The 15,909-nt window shown below is 51.4% G+C and overlaps 2 annotated features.

Annotated features, from left to right (window-relative positions):
* Positions 2,888-2,967: an enhancer, noted in NCBI's record as "active region_3618". NCBI's record gives its function as "activates an Ori minimal core promoter by ATAC-STARR-seq in GM12878 lymphoblastoid cells {active_cell/tissue: GM12878}" and the evidence as "EXISTENCE:reporter gene assay evidence [ECO:0000049][PMID:35858748]".
* Positions 7,055-7,654: an enhancer, noted in NCBI's record as "H3K4me1 hESC enhancer chr10:80527882-80528481 (GRCh37/hg19 assembly coordinates)". NCBI's record gives its function as "activates a minimal SCP1, AML or CMV promoter by ChIP-STARR-seq in primed H9 embryonic stem cells {active_cell/tissue: H9 hESC(primed)}" and the evidence as "EXISTENCE:reporter gene assay evidence [ECO:0000049][PMID:30033119]".

Consider the following 15,909-nt stretch of genomic DNA (forward strand, 5'->3'; position numbering starts at 1 on the left):
GTCCTCTTGTCCCATTCCCCTCTTGGTAAAATCCTTGTTTTCAGCTTTATTTGGTACCATCTTTACTGCAGACAGCAAGTCTGCTCTCAGGAGTCCTGCTCATCTGTGGGCTACTGAGAAATCCCCACTTAGTACAAACCACCAGTCCATCAGAGCCCACCTTGCCTGGTGATCACTCAGGAGTGCCCACCTTCTCGCTCCTTCTCCTGGGCCATGATGCCTCTTCTGCCTTCACTAAGTCTAGGTGGTGGGGGAGCCACTGAGCCCAGCCCTTCCCTATCCCCCCACTCTTCCCGCAGCTGGGGCCTCCCATGCCAAGCCTGGCACTGACAGCAGGCGCCATGGAGGGCAGACGACTAGCTGGGGGATGAAAACCTCCATTCACGACAATATCAAATCCCTGGCTCCAGAGAGGGAGACAGGTTTGCTCCCAGTTGGAGACATCACGGGTGAGGGAAGCCGATACGAGAGGAGCGTCTGCTTAATGCAGGCTCTGTTTTTTTCACCTGGCAGGCCAAACACAGCAGCTCACTTGTGTCTCTGAAATCCTAACTGGCTTCCGACGGGGAGCTTTGGGGACTGCAGGGGAGACATGAGGCAGAGTGTGCCAGGCATTCCCCCAGCCAAATCCCAGCTAAGCCAGGGCAGAGACTCAGGGGAAGGCCTGGTGACGGCGGGCCACACCCACATCCAGGGAGGACTGTCAGAAGAAGCGAAGCCACGTTATCCAACCACCCACAGCCCTTCAATTGCCTTTTTATTTTCCCTGCTCTGCTTTCCAAGTGTATCCTGTAAAGCGGGTACAAAGGAATCATAGACTATCAGTGGTGAGGGCCTTGAGCAATTTTTTCATTCTGTTTTCAACTTTTGAGGGTAACCCCCGTAAAGGTAAGCCTCCTCATAAATCTGTATGCTAAACGTGTAAACACAAAGCCATAAACTCTCTCTCAAGAAAACTGTATGCCCCAAATTGAGCATATAATTATATGGAATTCACAGACCCTGAGATTCCACTCTGTAAGCCCCGTAAAGTCCATGTTGAGGATATTTTCCAATGTCTCCTTCAATGGCTGGGAAAGCTGTCTCCAAATAGGGACATCTGACTTGCCAGGAAAACACAGCGTGCAGTTGACAGAGAAGGGATCATATTTACATTTATTTGGTAAAAAAGGAAGTGTGACTATTCATGGAATATGTTTTGTAAATGAGAAATATCAAGCTCAGAGTGGCCACTGGGCTTGCACAACCTCCCTAGTTGTCCTCCCATAGCTCCATCCCCCACCATGTTCCACAATGGAAGAATGTTTAGCTGGGCACTTGGCAGCCTACCGTTTCCAGCATCCCTTACAGCTATGTATGGTCTTGCCTCTAAGCTCTACCAATAGGATGTGAGCAGAGATGTGTGGAATTCGAAGTCATATCTTTGAGATGAATGAGTGCGCCCCCCTCCCTCTTTTCTTTCATTCCACTAAGTGGATTGCAGATGTGACAACGGGAGTTGGAACAGCCTTTCTGGGCCGCATGTTCAAGGCTGGGTATGACTAAAAAGGTGGGAGGAATCTGGGGCTCTGATGTTTGTGGAGCTACTAGACCAACCTGGGACCAGGTACCTGGGCTTTTACTTCTTCAGCCCCCATTATTTTAAATTTCTTTGCCATTGCCTTAGAGTCACAGTTTTAACTCACAACCTCAGATTCCATTTGTCCCCTCATCCAGTAGGTCTCCAAGTCCCCTCAGTGATGGGCATTTCTACCTATCCTTTGTCTTATTCTCATCCCCTTTGCCGCTGCTCTACTCCTAGATCCTGGGGTGGTCCAAGGACCTCTAAGGAGACCTCTTTGTTACAGGCAAACTGCCCTCCAGGCTGGAGCAGCTTTTCTGAAATGCACTCCTGAGCTGGACACTCTATTTCGTCAGCCCTCCAATAGCTCCCTACTCAGCATAGAGCGAAGCCCACTCTCCCCTTCACCTGCTACCAGCCTGCCTCACCAACCCCATCTCTTGCTGCTTACTTCAAACTGCCTGTGCTTCCTATACAGGGAATTGTCTGCCCTTTTCCAAGCTCCATGCCACCTCCAAAGCTTCCCCACGTCTCCTGGACAGCCTGGTATGTTCTTCTCCAAGGTCCACCTCCTTGGCCAGCCCACCCAGCACCTCTTCCCGCATGCCCCACATCACCTTGGCCGTATCTCCATTGTAGCAGGGAACTCCAGTAACTGATGTCATCTGTCTCCTGCCAGGACAATCAATGCCAGAGTGCTAGAGTGGCTTCCCTAAATCCCTAGGTGCTCACCGTGTTGCCAGGATCTTCTGCTCAAGACAATTCTGTTGAGTAGAAACGTATTACTGGAGTAGGCAATGGAACTCAGCTTTCTTTACACCTCTGTGGGGCCCATCCTGCTCTGTTGTGCCTTGTCACCCTAGTGAGGAATTTATTCCTTCACTCCTTCAATCTTTTGTTTCTTCTTTCTGCAAGCGTAACTTCAATGCCGGCACAGTGCCTGGTAGAAGCAGAATTTGCTGAATGCATGAACGTATGCATTCACTGAGTGCTTTTTATTCTATTTTATTTTAGTTTAGTTTAGTTTAGTTTCATTTGCCAGACTCTGACAAAAGGAAGCTGAGCTCTGTTTCTGCGCTTGACACTGGGCACACAGAGCTGGAGAAAGCCCAAGCCTGCTCTCCAGGACTTCCCAGCCTGGTGGGTCAGAGGAGGCCAGGGCCGTGGGGGAAGATGGAGCCACTGGCTCCCCAGCACCTCCTGGGTGGGTCTCTGTAACATTTATTTTTGCCTAAATGATGTAACCAGACCCGAGGAACTGGTCTTCCCCGCTCCTGTGGGCGGGCTGGAAGAGGTGAGAGGCAGAGTGATCTGACGCTTCTGGCAACGTGATGAAGTCGTTTTCAGAAAGACAGTTTTGTTCTGACTTGAGTGTTTTTCCACATGACTTCATCCCCCGGCAGGCCTTGCTTGGGTCTTATTTTTTGATGGGCCCCAGCCCCATCTGTGTGGATAAAATGGCCTCTGAACCCTTCCCTGGGGCAGCTGTGACAGGACAAGCAAGGTCTGTTTGCTGCCCCAGGCCAAGCACCTGGCTCTGCCACCCACTGCCCTGCAAATGGCCTGATTGCAGGCAGCCTTGCCCACAGCAGGAAGAGGCCCCACAGGGCCTGGGAGTCAGGCAGGACAGCAGGGCTGGAGCCAACCTGCCTACCGTGTGGCCCAAAGGCTTCCCTCCAACCTGGAAAGACCTAACCCTGTCCTCTCTGACCTCAGTTTCTTCACCTGCAAATGAGGGTGAGCATCAGTCATGGTTCACAAGGCCCCTGGGAAGATTCAGTGATGTAAGGACACATGGAGGACCATTGCTTCTGTTGCCAGTGATGGTTCCTGCATTCACTTCTTTGTCGGCTCCCTCACTCAAACCTCGATGGGCTCCTCCACAGGCCAGAACCTCCCAGTGTGTCTGCAGACAGACCAGGAAAATGGAGAGTTACAAATCAGTGTGGTGGGGGCTACAAAGGACCGTGCACAGTGTGCTGTGCCTATGCAAAGGAGTGGGCGACCAGCCCTGTGGTCAGGGTGGGGTGAGGTGAAGTCAAAGGAAACTTCTTGGAAAGGAACTTTGGGTTAGGCCTTAAAAAAGGAGAAGCAGCTCACAAAGCAAAACCAGGGCACTGGAGTGAGATGCAGGGGCCCAGCTCGGGTACCATCAGGAAGGATTTGGTGCATGCAGCAGAGACCAGAGGGAGTGCTGAGGCAGGAAGCCGTGTGCTCTCCACTTACAGAAACTCCAGTGCAGTAAGGCCCTGGATCCTTCAGAGGCCCAATGACCCCCAGCAGACACCCAGGCTCAGCCCTCATTTCCACTTGGTCTCCCTCCATGTCCTAGCTTTTAGCCCTTTGTTTGCTGCCACATGGTCAAAAGATGGCTGCTGCAGCTCTAAGCATCTCATCCGTATGCAACTCAGGTCCAGGCAGGATGAAGGGCAAAGGCAAGACTCAAGGAAACTCTCTGCCCCCTTCTGTCCCCTAAGGCCTCAAAGAACCTCCCCTGGTTCTCACTGACTCAGTCATTGGACCTGCCACCCCTGGCTGTGAGGAAGGCTAAGGGAGTACCTGGCAAAGGGGTTTAGAATGACCATGATTGACCTACACTAGGGCTGGGCAGGGGCCATGATACAAGAGTCTTCTGCCCACCGCCCAACAACATCAGGATTGTAGCACCAGGGAGGACAGGCGGCTGGAAGGAAAAATAAGGAGCAGGGTGGTCACACGTGGGGTGAGTGTCAAGCAGGAGGCTTGGAGTGGCTTGTGTGGTGAAGCAAGGTGGGAGGAGGCTGGGATTAGACAAGAATTTAACTAGAAATCTTAGAATCTGGGGAGGGCAATCCATCCACAGGGTCTGGACTTGAGGTTGATCTATGTCTCAAAACGACCACTTGGCCAGCAGTGGGAACTACCTGGAGGGGCAGAGGCTCCACTGTCAACTTCCTTCTGTGCGAGGCTGTGGGGTCCCTGAGGGTGAGGGGCTGGATCTTATTCATTTTAACATCCCTAGCTCCTTCCACAATGCTGCTCCTACCAAAAAAGATTGCCGAATGAATGAATAAGCGAATGAATGAGTGAAGGACACAGCCTCCCCCAGCATCAATTCCCTCCTCTGTATCATGGGGTCAAGAGTAACAGTGCCTACCTTGCAGGGCTGCTGTGAAGATCAGATGAGTTGATTGCTGGGGCGATGCCTAATAAAGAAGAAGGCTCCTGCGGGCAGAAAGGAGGAGGCGATGGAATGTGGGTTGACTTGCACCCACTCCGGCGCCAACATAGGCTCCCGCCTGCTGGAACCACTCACGGCCTGACCACACCAAGCAGCCTGGAGGAGCCTGCATGGCCTCCCTGGATTTTCAGAAGAGGAGGCGAGGAAACACCTGGAGCAGCCCAGTGGGTCCTGCCAAAGACAACGATGGGAGAGTGATGAGGATAAACAGCTGTCTGTCTCTGGTAATGCAATTAGGAGCTAAAATATTAAACACTTTACGACAGGACATACATCTCCCACATAACGAGCTGCCTCTTGCAAAGCAGGCATTGTCCGAGCAGGGAGACAGGCAGGCCTAGATCTTAGACCCAGCAGCCTCTGCCGAGGGCAACAAACCCGCATGCCATCATCATTTTGGAAGCTCCCCATTTCATCGTCGTGGTAATGGGGATTGTCAGCTTCACAGTCACCATTTGCTGAGGTGCTGCTAGCAGCAACACTCTCAGGAATTTGCACATATGCTGAGCCACTTTCTTCTCAAGGAAGAAGTGTGGGGTAGAGGATATAGGGGAAACTGAAGCCCACAGTTGTTAAATAACTCACCCATGGCCACTCTTCTCACAAGAGGCAAAACTGCCTGGCAGCTGCTGTCCTCTGCAAGAAGCCAAAGCACCCTCCTGGCTATGTGAAGAGAGAGATGGAATGGGTTAATAGATGGAGCAGATGGGGAGTATGAATTTCAGCGTATCCTGGGATGGCCCACAGAGCCAGTGCACCTCTGTGACTCTGGGGTCCCAGATGCTGGGACACATGACTGTTTACCTGATCTAGATGTGTAAACACCCAGATTTCTGGGCCATTTGTGTCTCAGGAAAAGCTCTAGCTGGCCACCTCTTGACTTTGATGGTGAATCATTGATGCTCTAATGAGTTTGAGTTGACACAGATTTGTGGTACTACAGTGGAATTCCAGGAATCATCAGTTAGGACACTTCATGGCACTTCCAGAAACATACTTCTTAGGCAACCAAGCACTTCTAGACACATGTTTTTGTTTTTTGTTTGTTTGTTTTGTTTGTTTGTTTGTGTTGGAATCTCGCTCTGTCACCCAGGCTGGAGTGCAGTAGCTCAATCTCCGCTCACTGCAGGCTCCGCCTCCCAGGTTCACGCCATTCTCCTGCCTCAGCCTCCCGAGTAGCTGGGACTACAGGTGCCCACCACAACGCCTGGCTAATTTTTTGTATTTTTAGTAGAGACAGAGTTTCACCGTGTTAGCCAGGATGGTCTCGATCTCCTGACGTGATCCGCCTGCCTCGGCCTCCCAAAGTGCTGGGATTACAGGCATAAGCCACGGTGCCCGACCTCTAGGAACATGTTTACAGTGCACTGTCTGTGTCTCAATCTAGGCTGGCCCCTAACCTTATCAAGGATCTAAGAAGACCACACAGCCCTCACATAAGGTGAGAAGATGTTTGCCAAAGCCCTTTCCACATTCATCATCTCATTTTCTTCTCGTAAGAGAAGAGATACAATTTCAACCCATTTCATAGATATGGAAGCTGAAGTCTGGAGAATGTTTAAATGGCACATGTGGCTTTGCTGAGCGCTTGCTACTCGCTAAGCTCTGACTGTCATAAGCAGGTCTCTATCCTCATGGAACTTCTGGTCTAGTTCAGAAGCAAATCAAGAAGTACCTACATACTCTATGAAAAAGAAGAAGAGGCCGGGCGCGGTGGCTCACGCCTGTAATCCCAGCACTTTGGGAGGCTGAGGCGGGCGGATCACGAGGTCAGGAGATCGAGACCATCCTGGCTAACACGGGAAACCCCGTCTCTACTAAAAATACAAAAAATTAGCCGGGCGTGGTAGCGGGCGCCTGTAGTCCCAGCTACTCAGGAGGCTGAGGCAGGAGAATGGCGTGAACCCGGGAGGCGGAGCTTGCAGTGAGCCGAGATCGCGCCACTGCACTCCAGCCTGGGCGACAGAGCGAGACTCCGTCTCAAAAAAAAAAAAAAAAAGAAAGAAAGAAAAAGAAGAAGAAGGTGTTTTAAAAGAAAATAACAAGAGGCCTAGGTGGGTGGGGATGCTTGTCTGAGGTTGAGACAGAGTCAAGGGAAGAGCATTTCAGGGAGATGGAATAGAGGGTGCACAAGCCCTGTGGTGGGAAGGCCCTGAATGCTCCTGCTGCTGACAGGTGGCCCTGTGGGCAGGAGGTGAGCAAGGCCCATTCCCTTGCAAGAATCCTTGCAATGAACCATGCCTTCCTGCCTGGCGCTGCGTTCCAACTCAGGGTTTCTGACCAGTCTCCAGCCCCCTCACTGCTCCCCAGGGCCTGGTCAGCCCCTGCTTTGGGTGGTGTCCCCACCCTGCAACAGGGAGCCCCCTCTCTGCCTGACCCTTCCCATCTGCTGGGATCTCCCCAAAGCAGCCCCCTGCTCCCTGCCCAGTGTGGTCCCTTCAGCTCTCAGGACCACCCCTTTCCTGGAGCCCACAGGCAGCATTCCTAGGAGCCAGGGGTGGGGGCAGCTGAGGGCGGCTGTGTGAGCTTTCATGAGCATTACATCTGGAGAGGGAGACGGGAATGTTTGTGTCTGAAATTTAGCTAATATCCCAGGAATTTCTCCTGGCGTTTTGGAGGGTTCCTAGGGGGACTGCAAAGCCAGGATGTCTGGGTTCTGGGGGCAGACCGGCCACGCTCAAAGCCTCTTTGTCTCCCTGGCTCTGCCTCTGTGTCGACCTGGCAGTGTGTCTGTGTATTTTTGCATGTATGTGTCTGGGTGTCAGAGTGTCTCCCTCTGCGTGTATCTCTTTCTGTCGGAGGTGTGTGTGGGTCTGTCTGTGTGCGTGCTGGGATGTGTGTATGTGTGAGTGTGCGCGCGTGTGGATGTATGTGTCTTTTGAGTCTGGGAGGGGGTGTTGCTATGTGTCTGTGGGTGTGTGTGCTGTACTGTGTGCATGCTGTGTGTGTGTCTGAGTGTGGATCTGTGTGTGTCTATTTGTACCTGAGTATCTTTTCCTGTCTGACTTTCTGTCTGCATCATGGTGTGACTCTGGAATCTCAATTTCTTGCTGTGTCTGGAGCTCAGTCTCTCTGGGTGTCTGTTCCTGAGTGTCAGTGGGTTCCTGCCCACGTGTGTGTGCAGCTCTGCCATCGTCTTTGACACAGAGGTAGGAACCCCACTGGGTGCCTGGACTTCTGCTTTTGTCTCTCCCTCACCACCCCTGGCTAGGACTGGTCCCACCCTCCCTGTTAGTGGGGAATCCAAGTGAACTTGTGCCAGAGGTGACTGTAGCGGGAGGGAGAGAGTGAGTGAAAGGCAGTGGGAGGCGGAGGAGAGGACTGGGGGCATGGACCCTCTGTAAGTCTGTGTGTCGGTGCATGTGCCACTGTGCACATGTGTGCTCCTGTGTGTATTTGCCTCTGTGCCTATCTGTGTGTGTGTGTGTGTGTGTGTCCCTGGGCACTTGGTCTGTGCATTTCTGTGTGTGTGTGTGTGTGTGTGGTTGTGCACGTATACCTGAGTCTCTGTATGTGTGCATGTATGCCTGTGGTATGTGTGGGGTCATCTAGGAATATTTCTGGCCAGGGAAGGGTCCTGGCAGGCTAAGCCTTTCCTTCTTTCCTTCAGCCCCACCACAAAAAAAGATACCCTCCAGCGTCATGGGGGTTCTCCTGGGCTCCGTGCAGGAGCCATGCCCACTCTCCTGTGCTCTCCCCTCCACCCTTTGTGCTTTGGTCACAAAGCATTTTGTGCCACATCTTCCAACTGAGTCTCCCCCTCGTCCTGCTTCCCACGTCCACCATGCCCAGCTGGGCCTTCCTCACCTCCGCATAATGTACTGCTCTGCCCTGGCACCCCACTCCCAGTCCCACCTACACCTACGGCTACAGCACACTGCCCAGAGCGCCTCATTGCTCCCCTGCTCAAGACTCATCCAGGGCTTCCCCTTGCTGACTTAATGGAGCCAAACCCACCTGGCTCTGCCAGAAAGTCCCCCTGGATATCTCAGTCCAGGGGAAGGCTTTGTGCCTCTGCAACCAGCACCCCTTGGGCTGGAGGCATCAGCCCCCCAACTTCTCTCTCCCTGTATACTGGAAGAGATGGTGCAAAACTCAGCTCTGGAAAATCTCTGAAAACATCTGAAGTCAAAGGTAGGTGGCAGGTGGGAAGGAGAAGGCTGAGAAAATAGGCCACACTGTAAACATCTCAAGCACTTGGATAGTCTCTTCAAATGTTTTATTCTGTATGCAGTGTATGAATTTTCTAGGACCGTTGTAACAATCACAAACTTAGTAGCTTAAAACAACAGAAATGTATTCTATCATAGTTCTAGAATCCAGAAGTCCACAATCAAGATTTTAAAATCTAAGCACAGGACTCCAGTCCCTCCAGAGGCTCCAGGGAGAATTCTTACTCCCTCTCCCGCTTCTGACGGTGGCGATCCTTGGCGTCCCTCGGCCGTAGACACATCACTCCAATCTCTCCCTCCATCTTCTCGTGGCTTTCCCATGCCTTTCTGTGTCTCGAAGCTCTCTCTCCTTATAAGGACACCAGGCATTGGGTTTAGGGCCCACCCTCCATCTAGGATGATCTCATCTCAAGATTCTTAACTTAATTACCTCGGCAAAGTCCCTATTTCCAAATAAGGGAGTATTTCACATTTACAGGTACTGGGTGTTAGGACTTAGGCATATCTTTTGGGGGGACATAATTCAGTCCACCCCATGCAATTCTAGTGCTAGATACAGAATAGAAACTCAGAAACAGGTTTTTGGCCTAAACAGCTAATGATGACAAGTACCAGAGCCACAAGAACTGTCTGGGTTAGAGGTCGCCTCCTACCCCTGGTGCTCGGCCATCCCACGTGCTCTCCATGTAGTCTGAAGCACCTGCAGGGGCAGGCATCGCATCACTCCTGTGTATGTGGGCATGTGAGGGAGCTGGGGTGAGGAGCAAGGCTGTTGGGGAAATATGGGAGGATGGTGTATGCACTCCAGGCTGCCTCTGTGCTGTCCTGAATACTTCTGTGGGTTTAGGCATCTCCTGGTGAGATGAAGAAAACTGGGTCGGGAAGCAAAGGGTGAACAAGTACTTCCAGGCCTTCTGAAGCGAAGCTTCCTCCAGAGGACTAACAGTATGGTGGCAAAATCCTGGCCCAGGGTCCCTGTCCTGGTTTCAAATCCTGGAGCTAACCCACACTTACAGCGTAACCTGAAGTGAGACCCTCTGGCTCTCTGGGCATCACCATTCTGTTGTGGAATCTCTGTTTGTTTGTTTGTTTGTTTGTTTGTTTGTTTTGAGACAGAGTCTTGCTTGGTCACCCAGGCGGGAGTGCAGTGGTGTAATTTCAACTCACTGCAACCTCCACTTCCTGGGTTCAAGTGATTCTCCTGCCTTAGCCTCCCGAGTAGCTGGGATTACAGGCATGCGCACCCACACCTGGCTGATTTTTTTATTTTTATTTTTAATAGAGATGACGTTTCACCATATTGGCCAGGCTGATCTTGAACTCCTGACCTCAAGTGATCCACCCAGCTCAGCCTCCCAAAGTGCTCAGATTACAGGCGTGAGCCACTGCGCCTGGCCGTGGTGGAATCTCTTAATGTCTCAAGGTTATGGTGAGGCCTAAATGAACCTATGGGCCTGAGAAATCCTGTGCCTGTGAAGGCCAGGCCTGTTTTCCTGGCAAATAAAACAGCAACGTCTGAGGCACAACAAGAACAGCAGCCAGGCAGTTTGCTTTATATGAATTTTTAACCCCCAGGAAATCCAAAGGCAGGCAAGCGGCATTACTGGGTGCCTGCTATGTGCCAGGCATGGTGCTGGGCTATGACCTACAGTATCTCATTCTCCCGTGCCATGGGGCCTGCCTGTGTGGCATTGGGGTTAAAATACCCATGTTTTTTCAGAAGAGGAAAGGGAAGCACAAAAACTGGCCAAGGTCACATCTCTAGAAGGCTTCTGATTGTCTGCAAAGAAGTCACAAAGAAATGAGTCGAGGTGAGGGCCAGGGCAATAGAGGGGCAGGTTTGGAAGCCATTTGTACATTATGAGACCTGAATAGAAGTTTTGGAGTCAAAATAAATAAGTAAGCAGCTGATTTCCCTGGAGGAGACTCAAGCCACCTTTTATTATTTCATTGGCTCAGGAGCCAAAACAGCTGCATTTTATCATTCCTCAGAAATCCATAAAAGGGATGGAAAATGCTGGTGCTTATGGGGAAAATGGATGAGCATTTAAATTTAATTGTGGCCCCCTGCTGCCTGTGATGGGGCCTGGAGATGATGCCTATGAGCCTTGGGATTGCCCCGGCAGAGCAGCGGAGAGGAATACTTTGCATCCAGAGAGGGCATCCGGCCTCCAGGCCCAACCTGACCCCTTGTCTCTGCCCTCCTGCAGCCTCCATCCCCCATTCTCCCCATTCCTAGGACATGGTCCTGAGTGTTTCTGTGTGTTGTGTGCCTGGCCTTCTGCCCCAGCCTGGGAGCTCCATATAGGCTGGCCGGGTTTCCCTGGCCCCAAGTGGCCATTTCAGGCCTGCACAGTCGCTTACGTGGGAAGCTTCCCTTCCATCCCTGACAGTGGCCTTGCCTGGCCTCTCCTGCTCATTCTTCTTGACAGAACAACCAGGGTAAGCTTGTATACTGGACTCTGGCCTCAGTGCTGACTTGGTGAGGTACAAGATACCCTCATTGTCGTTCATGCAAGAAAATCAAGGGTTGCGGGTTCTATAAATGTAACAAGCATAGTTCAGGGGCCTGCGATCCGGCGCTTCCAACAAGCTCCTGGGTGATGCCCTTGTGGATGCTTTGTGGACAGCAGCCTGACACTCATGGCTTCCTAGGGCCATATGCTTCAGTCAGAGATGGGCAAACTGAGGCCCAGAGGGGCAGGGAGTTACCTGAGGTTACATTACGAGAGGGAAGGGAGAAGGGGACTCCCACCCCTGCCCTGCCCTCTCTCCCAGGATTCCAAACTCATACGCTCTAGGGATTGAAAAGCAGAAATGCAAGGATACGGTCAGGCAGCTCCTACTCAGCTCCTGCCACTGTCCCCAGGACCATGCAGGCCTAGTGACAGCAGTGCACCTGATTCTCAAGAGAAGTTGGAAATGCAGAATGTCACATACCTCCCAGTTTTAGATCTTTTCTGGTCAAACCAAACCTATTGGCAAGTCAAGTGGCTCTGGAGTGCCCATCTGAACGCTGCTGTTTTCCATCCCAGGAGTGCCAGCAAGGACACCTCCCTCTCCCTCAGCCTCTCGCCCATGCCCTCCCTGAATGGCCTCACTCGCTGCATGTGGCAGGTATCTGGCCTTCCTGCACCTGAATGCTGGGGCTGGACCAGGTCACCCCAGCCCTGTTCAGGAGAGAGGCCCGAGGCCCGAGAGGCAGAATGGAGGAGGCAGGTTTAAGGGTCTGGCAAACGTGGCTGCCAGCGCTAGCTCTGCATGCTCTTAACTGTGACCTTCCTCAGCCTCAGCTCCCTTACATGAGAAGTGACGATGGTCATGACAGACCCCGCAGAACCTTTGTGCACGTGATCCAAGATCAGAGGCAAGTCCCTGATGCAAGGCAGTAGCTCTGCCAACTGGGGCTCCTCTCTGGGTCCCTGCTCTTTCTGATCAATTATCGGCACACCCTGCCCACTGCCAGGGGCTTTTAGGTGCTGTAGACACTGCCCATGGTCCACTTCGTACTAAAATCCCTTTACCCTGCCTGGGTCTCCTCCCTCACTCTCCTCCTGATTTCCCGTTCCATTTTCACCCAAGCTCCAGCTCTTCCTGGAGATGCCTCCCTCCAGAGCAACAGCTTCTCAACAGGCAATGTAGGGATGGAAGAGTCTTCATCTTAAACACAAGCTCTGCTGGCCAGGTGCGGTGGCTCATGCCTATAATCCCAGCACCTTGGGAGGCCGAAGCGGGTGGATCACCTGAGGTCAGGAGTTTGATACCAGCCTGGCCAACATGGTGAAACCCCATCTCTACTAGAAATACAAAACAATTAGCTGGGTGTGGTGGCACACACCTGTAATCCCAGCTACTCTGGAGGCTGGGGCAGGAGAATTGCTTGAACCCAGGAGGCGGAGGTTGCAGTGAGCCGAGATCATGCCATTGCACTCCAGCCTAGGCAACAAGAGCTAGACTCTGTCTCAAAAAAACACACACACACACACACACACACACACACAAGCACTGCTATACTGGACGTGGCTGCCTGGGGCAGTGTGGAATGAGATGGTCTGACGTCCTCACTCAGTAAGAGGAACGGCTGGGATCAGTTAGTGATGTCTGCTGTGGGTGCGGTGGTGAGGAGTGGCAATGGCGCATGTGCAGTGTGCAGGCTACTCACCATCCCTTGCAGGGAGCACCTGTCATCCAGGCAGCTCTTCCCAATCTGCCTTCTTATTCACACTCCTCGAAGCCCCACCGTGAGCTTGGAGGCAGTGCACCACATAAAACATAAGAACATCGGGCCGGGCTCGGTGACTCACGTCTGTAATCCCAGCACTTTGGGAGGCTGAGGCGGGTGGATCACAAGGTCAGGAGATCGAAACCATCCTGGCTAACACGGTGAAACCTGTCTCTACTAAAAATACCAAAAAAACAAATTAGCCAGGTGTGGTGGCGGGCGCCTGTAGTCCCAGCTACTCGGGAGGCTGAGGCAGGAGAATGGTGTGAACCCGGGCGGTGGAGCTTGCAGTGAGCCGAGATCGTGTCACTGCACTCCAGCCTGGGCGACAGAGTGAGACTCCATCTAAAAAAAAAAAAAAAAGAAAGAAAAAAAGAAAAAAGAAAGAAAATCGGAGACATTGGGAGGTAAAGTGACTTGCCCAAAGTCCCAAGTCCCAGAAAGCCCAAAGGTTGGACCAGAGCCTAGTATTGCCTAAGTCCCCTCCCCTTTCTTTGCCTGCTGGCTCCATTTCGCCACATCCTGAGAGTAGCCAACGTGTGGGGACAAGGATATCACTCGGCATGCATGGACCTTTCCCAGGCAGTGTTTGGGCCCTGACTCTCATATCTTAGAGAAAACTCAGGCCTTGGTATCTCTAGAGCAGCCTGTGTGACCCTGGTAAGCCCCTCCTAATTTGCAGACCTCATTCTCCCAGTTTTCAAAGGATAGGGAGTGGTGCCTCCCACCGAACGAATGGCTGAATGGAGAATCTGCCTGAAGTGCTTGCTACTCAGGAGACCTGACCCCTGCTGGTTCTCATAGCAGGACCTCTGACTCCTCTCCAGCTTCCCCGTGGGCTGTGGCTCATTTACAGTCCTGTAAACAGCCCCATGGAGAGCATCCTGACAATCGGTAGAAGGGGAGGAGAGTGGAGACTTCACACGGGCCCACCCCCACCACCATGGGATTCTGCCAATCCCACCACCAGCATGAAAACATTCCTGTCCCTGAGGCCACAGAGTGTGGTCAGGCCAGGCCCAGGCTGTTCTGTCCCAAGGTCCAAGGTCAGAGCCCTCTCCTGCCTGCCTGGCGACTCAAACCATAGCCTCTGCCCCTTAAGCCTCAGCTGGTGGCACCTGCCCCATGCCGCGTCACCTGGCGGGAGAAAGCTGGATGAGATAACGTCTGGCCTGGGATCCGGCTGTAGTGAAAGAAAAGCTCTTTGCACACACGGCTGAGCCTTCACTTATTTATTTATTTTTGTTTGCAGCTCTCAGCCCGACTCGGCAAACCAGGTCATGAAGGGGAGAAGCTCATGTCTGTCTTGCAGCCTGATTTCCCACGGAAAGGCCCCATGTTTACAGTTCTGGGGTTTCCCAGCAAAGAGTAACACTCCAGTTGGAAGCTCATGTGGCCAAAGAATGTCTCCGGATCAGAGAAAGGCAACACACCACCCAAGAACACAGCTCTGTGGGGGGTCCCAGGAACAGGGTTGAAAAAGCAAAGGGAAAAAATATATAGCATTAATTTAGCATCTACTGTGTGCTAGGTAGTATGCTAGAGATTTCATCTCAGCTCATTTATCCTTAAAACAATCATACTGGGTGGGCAATTCTCAATCCTATCTGTACAGAAAATTTGTAAACATCATCAGTGGTTCTGGCTTCATTTTTCTGGGTGGGCCCTGGGCATAGTATTTTTAAAAGCATCCCAGGAGATTCTAATGGGCAGCCAGGGGTGAGAAATGTGGCCTTAAGCAGTGTTTCTCAAACTTCTGTGTGCATAGCAACAAATCTCTTGGATCTTATTAAAATACAGATTCCAATTCAACAGGCTGGGCCAAGGCTGTATTTCTGCATGTCTAGCTAGCTCCCAGGGGATGCCCAAACTGCTGGTCCCTGGACCACACTTTGAGGAGCAAAGGTGTAGCCTATAAACTCCAAGGCAGTAAGACTTATTGCTGCATCCCAAGTACCTCCAACAACGCTAGGGCTGAGTAGCTGCAGAATAAATATTTGTCAAAGGCATAAAGAAATGAACAAGGCTCAGAGGCAGGTATTGTGTGGCTGTCATGTGAGCTGGGGGACTGTGCACAAGTTACTTAAATATCTCATTCACTCCAATTTTCATTTGAAAGATGGGAGCAGTCATATTTTGAATTCCAGTGGGTTATTTGAAGGATTAAATGAGATGATGTGCAGACTGGTTATTAGATGATGTTAAAAATTATTGCTTACTTTTTAAGGTATGATAATAGATGTGTGGTTTCAGTTTAAAAATATTTTAACTAGTAGCAACACATACTGACGTATTTACAGGTGAAGTGATACAATGTTGGGTGTTTGCTTTAGATATTCCAGCAGAGAATGATGAAGTGAAGAAGAAAAGGAGGAAAAAAGAGGGGGAAGGAAGAGAAAAAGAAGAAAAGCAGGAGGAATTGATTTAAAAACAACAACAACAAAAAATGCCAATTGTTATTGAAGCTGGGTAGTGAGTATAAGGGAGGCCCTCGCTATTCCATTTTTGCATACATTTTCCATGATAAAAAGTTAACAATAAATTAAAAATGTGATAAAGCAGATAACATGCTTAACTTGGCTCCTGATTTATAGCAAGTGCTCAATACACAGTAGGTCCTGTTTCTTTGACTTGGCTGTGATCACGAGGCACCCACCAGTGCACCCTCCAACCCTGAGTGATGTGTGCTGCGTCCCAGCATCAGAAAGAGGAAGGATGAGATTTGAAACGAGGT

This window comes from Homo sapiens, chromosome 10 (assembly GCF_000001405.40).
Source record: "Homo sapiens chromosome 10, GRCh38.p14 Primary Assembly".
Lineage (NCBI taxonomy): Eukaryota > Metazoa > Chordata > Mammalia > Primates > Hominidae > Homo > Homo sapiens.